This window comes from Homo sapiens, chromosome 16 (genome assembly GCF_000001405.40).
Source record: "Homo sapiens chromosome 16, GRCh38.p14 Primary Assembly".
Classification (NCBI taxonomy): Eukaryota; Metazoa; Chordata; class Mammalia; order Primates; family Hominidae; genus Homo; species Homo sapiens.
The window spans coordinates 13,766,419-13,780,873 of record NC_000016.10 but is presented as its reverse complement, the minus strand read 5'-3'; the positions used below and the strand labels follow the sequence as shown (position 1 = coordinate 13,780,873).

The following is a 14,455-nucleotide window of genomic DNA, read 5'->3' as shown; positions in this document are numbered from 1 at the left end:
CACATGGGGACTGGCTCTGGATAGGAACATCCTCTGTCCCCCATTATAGGAGTTGAAAATTATCTTTGCTACAGAAGGAAATGCAGAGGCAGGTAATTCCTCTTATGGTAAAAGAAAAGGGAAAAATAGAGTCATAAGCAATATTAAGACAGTGCTTACTACAGGCTGGGTAACCTCCTAGGTCAATGGTGGGCAAACATTTTCCATAAAGAGTCAGACAGTAGATAATTTAGGATCTGTGGCTCATGCAGTCTCTGTAGAGGCTGCAGCTCCTCAACTCTGCCATTGTAGTGTAAAAGCAGCTGCAGGCAGTATGTAAATGAGTGGGCGTGGCTGAGTGCTAATAAGACTTTATGGACATTGAAATTTAAATCTCGTTTTTCATGTGTCATGAAATATTATTCTTTTTATTTTTTCCTTAACCCTTTAAAAATATAGAAACCACTTATAAAAGCACTTGCTTGCTGTACAAAAAGAGGTGGCAGGTTGTATTTGGCCCTTGGGTGGTAAGTTTGTTGAGCCCGTGTTCTAGGCGCTTTATGCATGTTAATTCCTTTAACCCTCACAATCCTATTACAATCCTACTTGACAGATGAATACGATGAGACATAGGGAGAAAAAGTAATTGCTCACTACTATAGATTGAATTATGTGCCCCTTTCCTCCAAAACCCTGCAATGAATTCGTATGTTGAAATCCTGACTTCCAATACCTTCAAATGAGGCTCGATTTGGAAACAGGATCATTGTGAAGCAGCATCACTGTCTGGGGTAATACCCAAGGTTAGTCGTCTCACGCCAAAATTAAACATACAGACACACACACAAGGAGTGAGTTTAGGAGTGGAAGGTTAATAGGCAAAAGAAACGGAAAGGAGAACAGCTCTCTCTCTCGCGCGAGAGAGGGGTGCTGGAAAGAGAAAACCGCTGTGGTGTTCACTGGATTTTATAGACACGCTTGAGGAAGTGGTGTCTGATTTACGTAGGGCCCACAGATTGGTTGGATCAGGTGTGAAATTTACATAGCGCTTGGGGAAGGCTGGCCACCCCACCGTAATCTTATTATGCAAATGGACTTTCCACTTGGGCGGCGCCATGTTGTCTGCTCCTTACTATCCACGTGGCTGGCAAAGAGAAGGGAGCATGAAGCTGTCATTTTGAACATGCCTAGTCCCAGGTAGCCTTTTCTTATTGGCAGAACTTCCAGCATTCACCCGTGCAAGCTTCTAGCTTGCTTGTCTATGTCTGCAGCTCGATTTTAAAGGCTGCTTTTTGTTAGAAAAGAAAGTGATTTGGGGGCTGCTTTTCATTAAAACGAAAACCTTACTGAGGACTCCTATGCCCTCACTATCTGTCTAAATAATTTTTTCTTAACCCCTATATCAATTGCAGCTATAACTAGTTATGATGAGGTCATTAGGGTTGGCCCTAATTCAGTACGACTTGTGTCCTTATTAAAAAAGATGAAAATTTGGCCAGGCCCAGTGGGAGGCTGAGGCGGGCGGATCACCTCAGGTCAGGAGTTCGAGACTAGCCTGGCCACCATAGTGAAACCCCGTATCTACTGAAAATACAAAAATTAGCTGGGCATGGTGGCACACTCCTGTAGTCCCAGCTACTCGGGGGGTTGAGGCAGGAGAATCGCTCGAACTCAGGAGGCGGAGATTGCAGTGAGTCGAGATCATGCCACTGCAACCTCCAGCCTGGGTGACAGACAGAGGCTCTATCTCAAAAAATAAAAATAAATAAAATACAATGGAAATTGAAATTTGGTCACAGAGATGCATGCGGGGAGAACTCTATGTGAAGGTGAAGGCAGAGATGCTTCATTAAGCCAAGGAATGCCAAAGGTGGCCAGCAAACCACCAGAAACCAGGCAAGATGCATGGAACAGATTCTGTCTCGTAGCTCTCAGAAGGAACCAACCCTGCCATCGCACATTGATTTTGGACTTCTGGCTTCCAGAACTGTGTGGTAAGAAATTTCTGTTGTTTAAAGTCACCCAGTTTACAGTACTTGGTTGCAGAAGCCCTAATAAACTAATAGAGTTGCACAGCCAATAAGTGGCATAGCTGAGGTTTGAAGACAGTTTGACCTCAGAGGCTGGGTACATTACCACTGTGCTATTATTCATTGTAATAAAGAGTGTGGCTTTAGAGCCTGACAGGGTCAGTTTCAACTAATGACTATAATTTCTTTCTTTTTTTTTTATTTTTGAGATGGAGTCTCGCTCTGTCGCCCAGGCTGGAGTGCAGTGGTGTGATCCCGGCTCACTGCAAGCTCTGCTTCCCAGGTTCACGCCATTCTCCTGCCTCAGCCTCACAAGTAGCTGGGGCTACAGGCGCCTGCCACCACGCCCAGCTAATTATTTCTTTTATTTTTTATTTTTTTGTATTTTTAGTAGAGACGGGGTTTCACCATGTTAGCCAGGATGGTCTCGATCTCCTGACCTTGTGATCCGCCCACCTCAGTCTCCCAAAGTGCTGGGATTACAGGTGTGAACCACAGTACCCGGCCCTCATAATTTCTATACACTGTGTGACCTTGGGCAAAGTACTCAGTCTGTCTGAGCCTTGCTTTCCTTATCTGTAACATCAGAATTACAGCATACTTATTTTATAGGGATATGTGAAGATTAAGATGACATATAAATAAAAGACTATATCTAATACAAATAATAAAAAGCACGTGGCACACAGTAGGTGCTCAATGATTGCTAGCTATTTTTATTTGTGGAGATATTCTCTGATTATTTTATCTCAGCTTTTTCCACCTCACAAAAATGCTATTTTCTTTTTACTGCCATTTTTAAGCCACTGTCCAGGCAAGCTCTTAGAGGTAGTTGTGTTTCTTCCCTCTACCTGGCCACTCCTGTCCCCAACACAGTATGTCAGGCAGGCTTTCCACTCTCTGTTTGGCTTAGTTCCATATGCCTGGGGCCATGTCTGGTGGAAGAAGTTTCTCTACTGCTCACACTTAAGGCATGAAGAAAACTGCTTGCTAATTTAATATGCTTTGTTCATTGTTTAGGGTTTGTCATCCAGCGAGGAGATGAGGAGAAAGTGCTGGGCCACTCCACTGGAGAAATTGGAGACCTTTCTTCTGGCTGTGTCTAGGGAGCCAAGAGAGTGAGAGAAAACTCTTTGAGGAATTGGGTAAGGGAATGCTACAGTTATGGAGAAAATTCTTGGATGTTCTATAAAAACTCTTTTCAAAGACCACTCTCTTCAAATCCCTTGCTTATTGCATATGGTCAAATCAGATTCCAATTCTTAATGAGTTTCCCATTTGGATTTTTGAGAATAGATAGAAATCCACTCATCTGAGTTAAGACAAATTCTATCCTTCCATCTCCAATTATTAATTCCTGGCTGGAATTTTATCAATAAAGTCCTTTCCAACCAGACATCCAGCAGAGCGTAGGGAATTGACAGATTCCTGGGACATGAGAAGGTAAGTTTAGATAGGGGTCCAGAGTGTGAACAGTGAAAACAGTCTAAATAGGAGAAACTGCTTATGGAATTACAGGCATAGGCTTGGGAAGCAGGAGGGACTTCAGTACTTAATGGGAGTAATGTGTGAGAGAAGAGGAAGAGAGACATGACACATAAAAGGAAAAAGCAGGATCAAACTTGGCAGAGGCCAGATAGACCCCAGTTTAAAGCCCACCCCTGCCACTTATTAGTTATGTGATCTTGAAAAAGTTACTTAACCTCTCAGAACCTCAATGTTACAATCTTTAAAATGGAACTAGTAAGAACTACTTCATAGGGTGTTGCTGTCAGGATTAAATAAGAATACAAAAAACCAATATAGATCTGTCAGTGTTGTCATGAAGACTAAATGAGACGATGTTTGTAAAGAGCCTAGCAGGAGATTTGGTTCCAAGTAGATGCTCAGTAAATGGGTATGAGATGAATGAAGTTGATGCTCTGCCCAGGTGTACGTGGATTCCATTTTTTGTGTGACCACTGGCTTTTGGTTTGTTTTTACTTTCAAGAGCTCACATCTGGAGCTCTTTTTTTGGAAGACTGTCTTGGGTTATTGAAGTCTAACAAAGGAAGTGCCTGGGAATGTATAGGCTTTGTGAGAGTAGCCATAAACCATAGGCTGCAAGTTTGAAGACTCATCTCCCTTGCCCTGGCTTGGGACAACTCAGAGGTACAACTAAACTTCAGAATTGCCTTAAGCTCCAGGGGCTTGAACTTTCCTTTATGGGATTCTGCCTGGAACTGCGCCCCTGTTTGGCTTTCTCTCCTTCTTTGTCTTGCTTCCCCTTTTATTGGTTTCTCTTGGAAGCATTCCTTGAATGAATCATTTGTGTTTGCACGTAAAACCTAAGAACCATAACCCTTTCCATATTATATTCTAGTCTGAACTTGGGGCCTGTAGAAATAAACAAATCAACAAACAAGAAAACCAAGTTGGGTATGAATATATAGTTTGATAGAAGAAATAAGACTTAGTATTTGTTAGATCAGTAGCATGACTATAGTTTATAATAATCTATTGTGTACTTTTAAAACAGCTGAAAGAGAATAATTTGAACATTTCTAGCATAAAAGACAAATATTTAGGGTGATGGATATCCTAATTACACTGATTTGATTTTTACAAACAATATGAGTGTATTAAATTATCACGTGTACCCCCAAAATATGTACATCTAGTATGTATGAGTAAAAAAAATTAATAATAGAAAATCACCCTGAAGTACTTTTTTTGCATAAGAAATGAAGATATATGGTAGCTCAGGTCTCTAAGCAGAAGGCAAGGGAGATGTTAAAAACAATCATTTGGGGGCAAAGAAGAGAGTAAGATTCTATTTGATTTGTAGAACTTGAGCCAGAAGATTTAGTTTGAAGTTTCTAAAATTTTTTAATTAAAAAAATTTTTTTACATTTATTTCACTCAGTGGCCACTGTCTGAAGTTTTGATTCAAAGGTTAATGTCATTTTAAGGAAGAGGTTCTGAAGGAGAGTCATTTGGACATTATTTATCCTGTGGGAGGATCTGTATACATTTTATTTCTTTTTCTTGTTGTATTGCTTTAGCTAGGACCTCTAGCACAATGTTAACTAAGCCTGATGAGAGTGGATATCCTTGCCTTGTTCCTGATCTTAGGGGGAGAGTGTTCAGACTTCACCATTAAGCATATTACGTGCAGTTTTTGCAGATGTCCTTTAACAGGTTGAAGAAATTACATTTAATTCCTAGGTTGCTATGAGATCTTATTGTGAATAGATAGTGAATTTTTTGGATAGTTTTTTTTTCTGAATCTCTTGATGGGATCATATGGTTTTCCCTCTAGTCTGCTGATACGGGAAAATACGTTGATTGAATTTAAGTGTTGAACCAACTTGGCATTCTTAGGATAAACCTGATTTAGTCATGATGCTTTATTCTTCTTATATATTGCCAGATAGCATTTGCTCATATTTTTTAGTGTATTTGTATCTATGCTCGTTAGGTGCATTGGTCAATAGCTGTACCACACAATATGGTAACCCTTAGCCACATGTACTATGTCAACTTAAATTTAAATGGATTAAATTATGATATAAAATTACGAACTCATTTTATCAGTCACATCAGCCACATTTTAAGGACTGCTTAAAATGTAGCTAATGGCTATCATATTGGATAGTGTAGAAATTTTCATTATAGCAGAAAGCTCTATTGGACAACCGATTTTGGACTCTTTCTTTCTTTCTTTCTTTCTTTCTTTCTTTCTTTCTTTCTTTCTCTCTCTCTCTCTCTCTTTCTTTCTCTCTTTCTTTCTTTCTTTCTCTCTCTTTCTTTCTTTCTTTCTTCTTTCTCTCTTTCCTTCTTTCTGTCTGTCTGTCTTGCTTGCTTCCTTGTTTGCTTGCTTCCTTTTGCATTTCTTTCATTTCTTTGTCTGGTTTGGTATTAGGATAATGCAGTCCTAAAGAATGGGCTGAAGGCCAGGCGTGGTGGCTCACGCCTGTAATTGCAGCACTTTGGGAGGCTGAAGCAGGCAAATCACTTGAGGCCAGGAGTTTGAAACCAGCCTGGACAACATGGCAAAACCCCATCTCTACTAAAAATACAAAAATTAGTTGGGAGTGGTGGCACGCACCTGTAATCCCAGCTACTGGGAGGCTGAGGCATGAGAATTGCTTGAACCTGGGAGGCGGAGGTTGCAGTGAGCTGAGATCATGCCACTGTACTCCAGCCTGGGTGACAGAGTGAGACTCTGTCTCAGGAAAAAAAAAAAAAAGAGTGAGCTGAAAAGTCTTTGCTACTTTCCTATTTTCTGGAAAAGTCTTTGTATATTTGAATGCAGAATATGGTCTATCTTGGGAAATGTTCTGTGTGCACTTGAGAATAAAATGTGTATGTATTCTGTTGTCAAGTGGAGTGTCTTGTAAATGTCAACTAGGTCAAGTTGGTTGGTAGTATTTAAGTCTTCTATATCCTTACTTATTTTCCTCCTATTTGCCCTATCAATTATTGAGAGAGGAGTGGTTTTGTCTCCACTTGTATTTGTGGATTTGCTTATTTCTCCTTTCACTTCTCTCAGCTTTTCCTTTAAATCTTAAAATTCTTTTATTATGTACATACACATTTAGGATTGTTGTGTTGGTAAATTGATCCCTTTATTTATTTATTTTTTTGAGGTGGGGTCTCGCTCTGTCACCCCAGGCTGGAGTGCAGTGGCGTGATCTCGGTTCACTGCAACCTCTGCCTCCTGGGTTGAAACGATTCTCCTGCCTCAGCCTCCTGAGTAGCTGGGAATACCGGCACATGCCACCACGCCCAGCTAATTTTTGTAGTTTTAGTAGAGACGAGGTTTCACCATGTTAGTCAGGCTGGTCTTGAACTCCTGATCTCGTGATCTGCCCACCTCCCAAAGTGCTGCAATTACAGGCGTGAGCCACGGCGCCTGGCCCCCTTTATTGTTATGTAACTGTTTCATGCCCCTCACCCAGGAGTAGAGGGTATTTTTTGTTTTTCCTTTCCCCAGCTTCAGTGGATCTTCACCCATGGCCTGAATTTGCTGCCCTACTCTAATAGTCTTAAGGTTTTTGTTCTGTTGGGGAGAAGGTTCTGGGTGGGAGTTCTTGCATTGACTCCAGTAATGCTCTAGGACTGCACCACCCAGGGATGCTCTCTCCAGTACCTTCCCCTGCTTCTGATCTTTCTCCCAAACACCCACTGTGGGAGGTCTGTGGAGAAGAGGCTGTGTATATGTGCAAGCTCTCCTTGTGTCTGTTAATCATAACATTTCTATAATTTCATGCTAGTCCATACTTGCTTATGCTAGCCCATACTTGACTTTGCTCATGCTAGCCCATACTTGGCTGTTAGCAATTTGTTAAAAGTTTTAACTACCTTCTTCTTGTCCACTTACATGGTGCCCAATGTCTCTTCCTCCTGTGCTTTGCACATGTGATCCAGTGCCTAAATCTGTCTTTCCTTGGAGGAGCCTTTCTTTGAAGTTTCTTTGGAGTTCAGGAGTTGAGGTTTCTCTGTGACCTCGACTTTTGAAAGTTATGATTTTGAAGTTTATCTGCCTTTTTTTTGTTAGGTTGGGAGTAGAGTAAAGCTTTTTCCAGCTTTCTACTTCCCAGGTGGAAATGGAACTCTATATAACTGATAGTTTAATTTTTTTTTCCTAAAAGTGTTCTTGCAAATTTCCAATATAGGAGAGGTCAGCTCCGCATTATATAAAAAGTAAAATTGCTTTAATTAAAAATGGAAAGTGTTTTAGTTTGGCAAATGGTAGGAAAGACAGATTAGTGCTCTTAAAGGATGTATACTTTAAAAATAGTATTTGCAAGTCAGGTTGTATTCCAGAACAAATTTTTAGAGCTAAGTTACTAAGCTACAAGAAAGTAGTTTTATTCAAAAAGTGCTGATACATCTTTCTATGGTATGGTGTAATTTGTTTGATGGCAATTTTGCCACAGTTCCATAGCTCTAGCAAAAGGTATCGTCCTACCAGGTGGGCTCTGTTGGCCCTTTGCATTGGCAAAGCCTTAAGTATAACTTTTCACACAGCACACCTTTTTTCAATAATTCAACCTTAGGACATAAAGATCACAGGGGAAGAGAATTTTGCACTCTATCAAGGCTCAGGAAGGGTGAGGACATAGGAGTTACAGAGAAGAGTAGATTGCTTAGTAAGAGAAGAAAGAAACTTCTCCTTTACCCAGAATTGTTAACGAGAGCAGGAGACATGTAGGAAAGACAGTGTTTCTGAGAAGGAATTTCTTTTTCTGGGACTTCATGCACACCCAAGTCTCCATGCTGGCACCAATGCCATTGATTTGTTAATTTAATTTTTTTTAAGTCACGCGAGCTCCGGGAGAGTCCAGCGTGGTATATTGAAAAAAGCTTTTGGGACATCTCCAGCGGCACAAATCTCATCACAGCCTATATGAATGGTGCCCTGAGGTGCTACTGGGTTTAGAAAAACCTGCATTTTAATGCCCATTTTCCTCTGAGTGACCTTTGGCAAGCTACCTAAACTCTCTGATCCTCCCAGTTTACTCCCAGTGAAACAGGCAAATACAGTCATGTGTCATCTAAGAATGGGGATACATTCTAAGAAATGTGTCCCTAGGTGATTTTGTTGTGGGAACATCCTAGAGTGCACTTACACAAACCTAGATGGTGTAGCCTTCTACACACCTAGGCTGTATGCCATAGCCTGTGGCTCCTGGGCTACAAAGGTGTACAGCATGTTACTGTACTGAATATTCTAGGCAATTGTAACACAATGGTAAGTATGTTTGTATCTAAACATAGAAAAGGTACAGTCAAAATGTGGTTTTGCTATCACAAGGACAGAAAACCAAACACCGCATGTTTTCACTCATAGGTGGGAACTGAACAATGAGAACACTTGGACACAGGGCAGGGAACATCACACCCCGGGGAACTGTCGTGGGGTGGGGGGAGGGGGGAGGGATAGCATTAGGAGATATACCTAATGTAAATGACGAGTTAATGGGTGCAGCACACCAACATGGAACATGTATACATATGTAACAAACCTGCACGTTGTGCACATGTATCCCAGAACTTAAAGTATAATAATAATAATAATAAAATGTGGTTTTGTAATCTTATAGGACCACTGTCATTTATGCAATCTGTTGTTGATGGAAATGTCATTTTGCGGTGCACGACTATCATCTTTATCCCTTAGTATTAGTTGATGGATGAAGTGGTAAGGTTTATAAAGCACTTGGCACATCACCTGACAGTAAATGCCCAGTCAGTGCAACTCCCTTTTTCCCCCTTTTCAGAGCTGTACAATGAAGGGGTTGCAAAGTTTCCAGAGAAAATTTTACATTTGCAATCTTAGGAAGCTGAAAGTGTTTCTGTTAAATAGGTTGAATTTTGTACTTGTGCCCTAAGGTGATATAGTTGTATAGGGTATAATTTAAACATTTTTAATAATTGTTCCATTTTGCAACTTGGAGGCCAGAGCAGTGTTCCCCTTGGCTTGTTGGTGTGGCCAAATATATCCATCAGTGAGGGTTGTGTAACTGGGGTCAGGGAATACCAAGAGCTTTAGCTTTTTGCATTAAAGGTTGATTAAATTAGTTAAAGTTGTCTGAGTCAGACTGACCTAGGCTTGAATCGTGGCCACATCCTAGCTGTTAAACCCAAAAAATCCTTTTCTTTTTACCTCAGTTTTCTTGCCATCAAAATAGATGACAAAGATAATACCTACTTCATAGTGTTGTGATATGAAATGAGATCATGAATATTATGTACCGAAAAAATGCTTATATAAACAACTTATTGACTACTTAACATCTACTGGCTCTGAGCCAGGCGCCTGATATGGATTGTATAGTTGAATGTCCATTACAACTCTATAACATAGGTGCTATTATTATCATCCCCAATTTACAGAGGAAGAGCCTGAGCTATAGAGAAATAAGTAACTCAACATGGACAGGTTGTGGTGGTGATAGGATATAAACCTAGATTTGTCTAACTGCAGGTTAATGCTCTTAACCATATTCCTGTGATCCTTTGTATTTTCTTTAATTCCTGCATCTCCTCAAACCACCATGGAACTTAGAAATAAATTTTGGTATTTGGTGACATATTGGTTGATTGCATGCCCAATATTTCCTCCTCCTCCTCCTTGTCCTTCCTCTTGTTCTTGTCCTCTTCCTCCTCTTCCTCCTCCTCTTCCTCCTCCTCCTCCTTCTTCTTCTTCTTCTTCTCCTTTTCCTCCTCCTCCTCCCTCTCCTTCCTCTCCTTCCTCTTCTTCCTCCTCTTCCTCTTCCTCCTCTTCCACTTCCTCTTGTTCTTCCTCTTCTTCTTCCTCTCCCTCTTCCTCTTCCTCCTCTCCCTCTCCCTCTCCCTCTCCCTCTCCTTCTCCTTCTCCGTCTTCGCCTTCGACTTCGTCTTCATCTTACTGTGTGGCCCAGGATACAGTGGAGCGGTGTGATCATAGCTCACTGCAACCTCCACCTCCCAAGTTCAAGCACTCCCTTCACTTCAGCCTCCCAAGTAGCTGCAACTGGTGTACACTACTAGACCTGGCTAATTTTTAAATTTTTTATAGAGACGAGATTTCATCATGTCACTCAGGCTAGTCTTGGACTCCTGGCTCAAGTGATCTGCCTGCCTTGGCTTCCCAAAGTGCTGGGACTATAGGCGTGAGCCATTGTACCTGGCCAGCATTTTCTTCTGAGAACATGTCTGAGACATTTACAGATACTCTCAGGGTGGTGGAAGCAGCAGAAGGTATTTGGGTTGCGGGGGAACAACTTTTCAATATGGTCACTTTTAACTTTCTGTATCTTAGGCATTTGGAACCTTAGGTTTGCAAGTCCTACTCATGCTTGGGTAAGGATCCTAGGAGCAGAGCGTAGAGTGGTGCCATGTTTCCCACAGATTAATTATTTTCATGGGAGCAGAGTGACTAGCAGGGACTCTGTCTGAGGCTTTCCTCCTTTGAAGACACATCTGAAGTCTATCCTTTAGATCATGCTTGATAAATGGAGTGGTGTGCCCTAGATGGGAAAATAACACTGCGTGCTAAAGGAGGCATTTTTAAGAGGATTTTTACTTGGCATATAGTGTACCTAGAAGACATGTCTTGCTGTCCTCATTTATTTTGCCATTTCCCGTCTGGTCCTAATTAACACACAGTTGGAACTATGAAGTGTAATGGACAATTCTTCCTTTAACCTCCAAAGAACTGTCTGCTAGTGGAGGTGCCTCAGATGGGATTTATTAGTATGGGAATGATTTCCAGAGATATAATCTACAAATGCATTTTTGACAGTCTCCACATTTCTCTAAAACTATGTCAGTTAACAGGAATCTGACTCAAGTACTTACATTCAACACTCTGGGCATTGAATACACTGAATACATTGAATGATAGCACCAGATTCACAATTAGAAATATTTTTTTCCCATGCAGAATAATGTATAGTCATTACTGAGTCCCATTTTGACCTGTTACCCAGGTTACACAGCCATATTAATGTGTGCAGAGGTATGATCACAATTCCTCCGTATGAAATTATTCTTCTCTGTAAAGAAATTGAGTTGATAAATAAGGCCCTAGCAGACTTAAACAATTGATCCACCATACAAAGCAATGTCATCAAGCTCTTCCAGAGAAATGGACCTCCCAAAAGGAAGCATCGAATCTGCACTGCTCATCCTTAATATGCACTCCTGACTCTCACAGATTGTGATAGATGATCAGAAATAATAACTTTTTGCATTCATTTCAAATTCATAGCCATAAACACAATGATCACTATTTATTGCACACCTATTTTAATCCAGGTGTCTACATGTATCTTCTAGAATATTTAAAGCTCTAACAAATGGATATAATTTAATCCACTTTATAAATTAGGAAAGGGAGGTTCAGGAGGGTTAAGTAAATTGCTTAATATCACACAGCTACTATGCTGTGAAGCCAAAATTTGGATCCATTCTGAATTACTTCAAAGCTTTCACCCATCCTTATATTCTATATGCATACAGAGGGTAATGAAGGATAAGATTCAGTATCGTTCTTTAAATACCTTACATGTAGTTAGGGATCCAAGATACCATCATTATGATAAAAAGCTAAATTTATTGGGAACTTAACTATGTGTCGGGGACTGCACTAAGCTCTTTATATAGACTTTCTCATTTAATTCCTTAAACAACCCCATGAAGTACATAGTACTACTATTCCCAGATGACAGATGGCATTAAGTAGCTTTCTTCGTATGGTAAAGCTGGGCTTCCAACCCAGGCAGTCTGATCCAGCTTCCATACTTTTATTCACTGTTGCTTCCCAAGACTGCTGATCTGGGAAACAGATTGTTCAGAAGACATTTTAGTTGAAGTCAGGCTAAATTAGGGGTCAAACCACACGAATAGAATCAATGGTAGTTGCAGTTAGAGAGTTAAAGGCCAAGGCAATCAGGTGATAAATTGTCTATGGCGGCAGAGCTTTCAGGAACCATGGACAGTCACACAGGGAGTTATTTTTATGGTTTATCTAAGTCAGGTAAAGCTATGATCGTGAAACAGGTTAATGTCTTCTATCACTATCTTTGTCATTAATTGACCACCATCCCTTTCCTGCTTTGCTTAGCCCCTGATAATTCATGGAATATTTTTCAATACCCTTAAGAACTCTGTAGTTAATGTAAGCCATTGTTTGGGGCTTCCACAGAGATAAATAACATCCAACAGTGTGGTTGGGGATGAGTGGTGGATAAAGGGAGTGGAGGGGAAGAAGGGAGAATTCTCAGCCCTCTTAATCATTTGGATTTTTTCCTCTAAGAGTCCATTTTCCTCTAAGTCAGGATAAAGTTAAAGCTAGGGTCAGGACCTTGACAAAAAATGTGAACAGTTTAAACAGCTTCTGTGAAGAACACAGGCAGTGTCACAAGAAAGCTCATGAGTGATTGCCAAATGGAAGGTAAAGTCAAATGCCATTGGAGGGTGAAATCATTGTAAGCTGGAGTGGTCTCAGAAAGCAACTGAAGGGTGCATTTGGATAAGTGGAGACAAAGGGAGGGATATTTCAGAAAAAAAGGAAAGGGTACTTAAAAATTATGACAGCATAGAGCTATAGAATGTCTATTGGAGAATAAACAGGATGTGCTTTTTCCATGGAGACTGTGATAGTCTCACATTTATGCATCATCAAAATCGATACTTATTTTTATGTACATATACGAAATATCAGAATGAATAAACATCAGGCATATTTTTGAGCCATTGGGGTAGAGTTGTGGATACACAAGAGCTCATGCACCTCTTCAGTCAGACAGCTCTACTAACGTTGGATTTCTGCTACAATTATAAAACATCATCAGAGACAAGCTGTTCGGTAACATTTCTCACCGAGCAACTAGGGGGCCCGGAGAAGCTGGATTGTCATTTGCGGGAAACAAATGACAATGATCCCTTGAGATGTAATGTGCAGAAAAAAGTACAATCTTATTATGAGATTACTATGGTGATGTAAGGTTTCTTCCTGTTCCCAGCTCAGACAGAGGAGGGAGACAAGGTACCACGTTAACAACAGGACTGAAATTTCGCCCAGAGTACAGAGAGCTCAGCAGATTCCTGGCATTTCTGAAAAACAATCCCTTGGGGTTGAATCAAATTAAATGCTTTAGGAAAAAAAGTTATGATATTCAAGAGAAATAATGTGGCTTAACAACTGAAGTTCCACTTCTGATGGACCTGAGAAGCCTTGCAAATGACGTTTGATTTTCACACTCTTTGAAGAGACAACAGATTTCATTGTGCAGGGGAGAAGCTGCCCAAGTGGACTTCTGGAGTTCTGACTACTTTGGGAGATCCATTGACTGGTAAGGGATTTAGTCATGATTTTAATAAAGAGAAAAAAGAATATCTTTTACGTTGGCTCTATGTGTCATGTGATGGGAGACAGAGGGTTATGTATATTCTATTCATGCCTCTAGGAAATATGTGTGTGTATCTGTGAATGAATACATGCAGATTTTTGGGCCAGGCACGGTGGCTCATGCCTGTAATCTCAGCACTTTGGGATGCTGTGGTGGGAGGATCACTTGTGCCTAGGAATTGGAGACCAATCTGGGCAACATCGCGAGACCCTGTCTTTACTTAAAATTAAAAAATTAGCTGGGAGTAGTGGAGCATGCCTATGGTCCCAGCTACTCAGGAGGCTAAGGTGAGAGGATCGCTTGAGCCCAGGAGGTCAAAGCTGCAGTGAGCTATGATTGCACAACTGTACTCTAGCCTGGGTGACAGAGCGAGACCTTGTCTCAAAAAAAAAAAAAAAAAAGAAATGGAAACTTTGGTACCTAGCATGGAGAATTTAGGACATTGACCCTTCACCAAGCAGTCATCCAGATTATTTCATGCCCAGTGCCTTCCACTCAGCAAAGCACCAGCATGGATAGGAGCTTTGGCATTGGACAGACATGGGTTCATGTCCCAGCTCA

General features: G+C 40.8%; 1 long non-coding RNA gene across 1 annotated transcript; it reads left to right on the top strand.

Annotated features, from left to right (window-relative positions):
* Positions 1–3,029: 3,029 nt before the first annotated feature.
* Positions 3,030–13,888, top strand: LOC124903645 (uncharacterized). The gene is made up of 2 exons (XR_007064996.1): positions 3,030–3,154; positions 13,508–13,888. It is a non-coding gene; the product is annotated as an uncharacterized LOC124903645 (long non-coding RNA).
* The last annotated feature ends 567 nt before the right edge of the window (positions 13,889–14,455 follow it).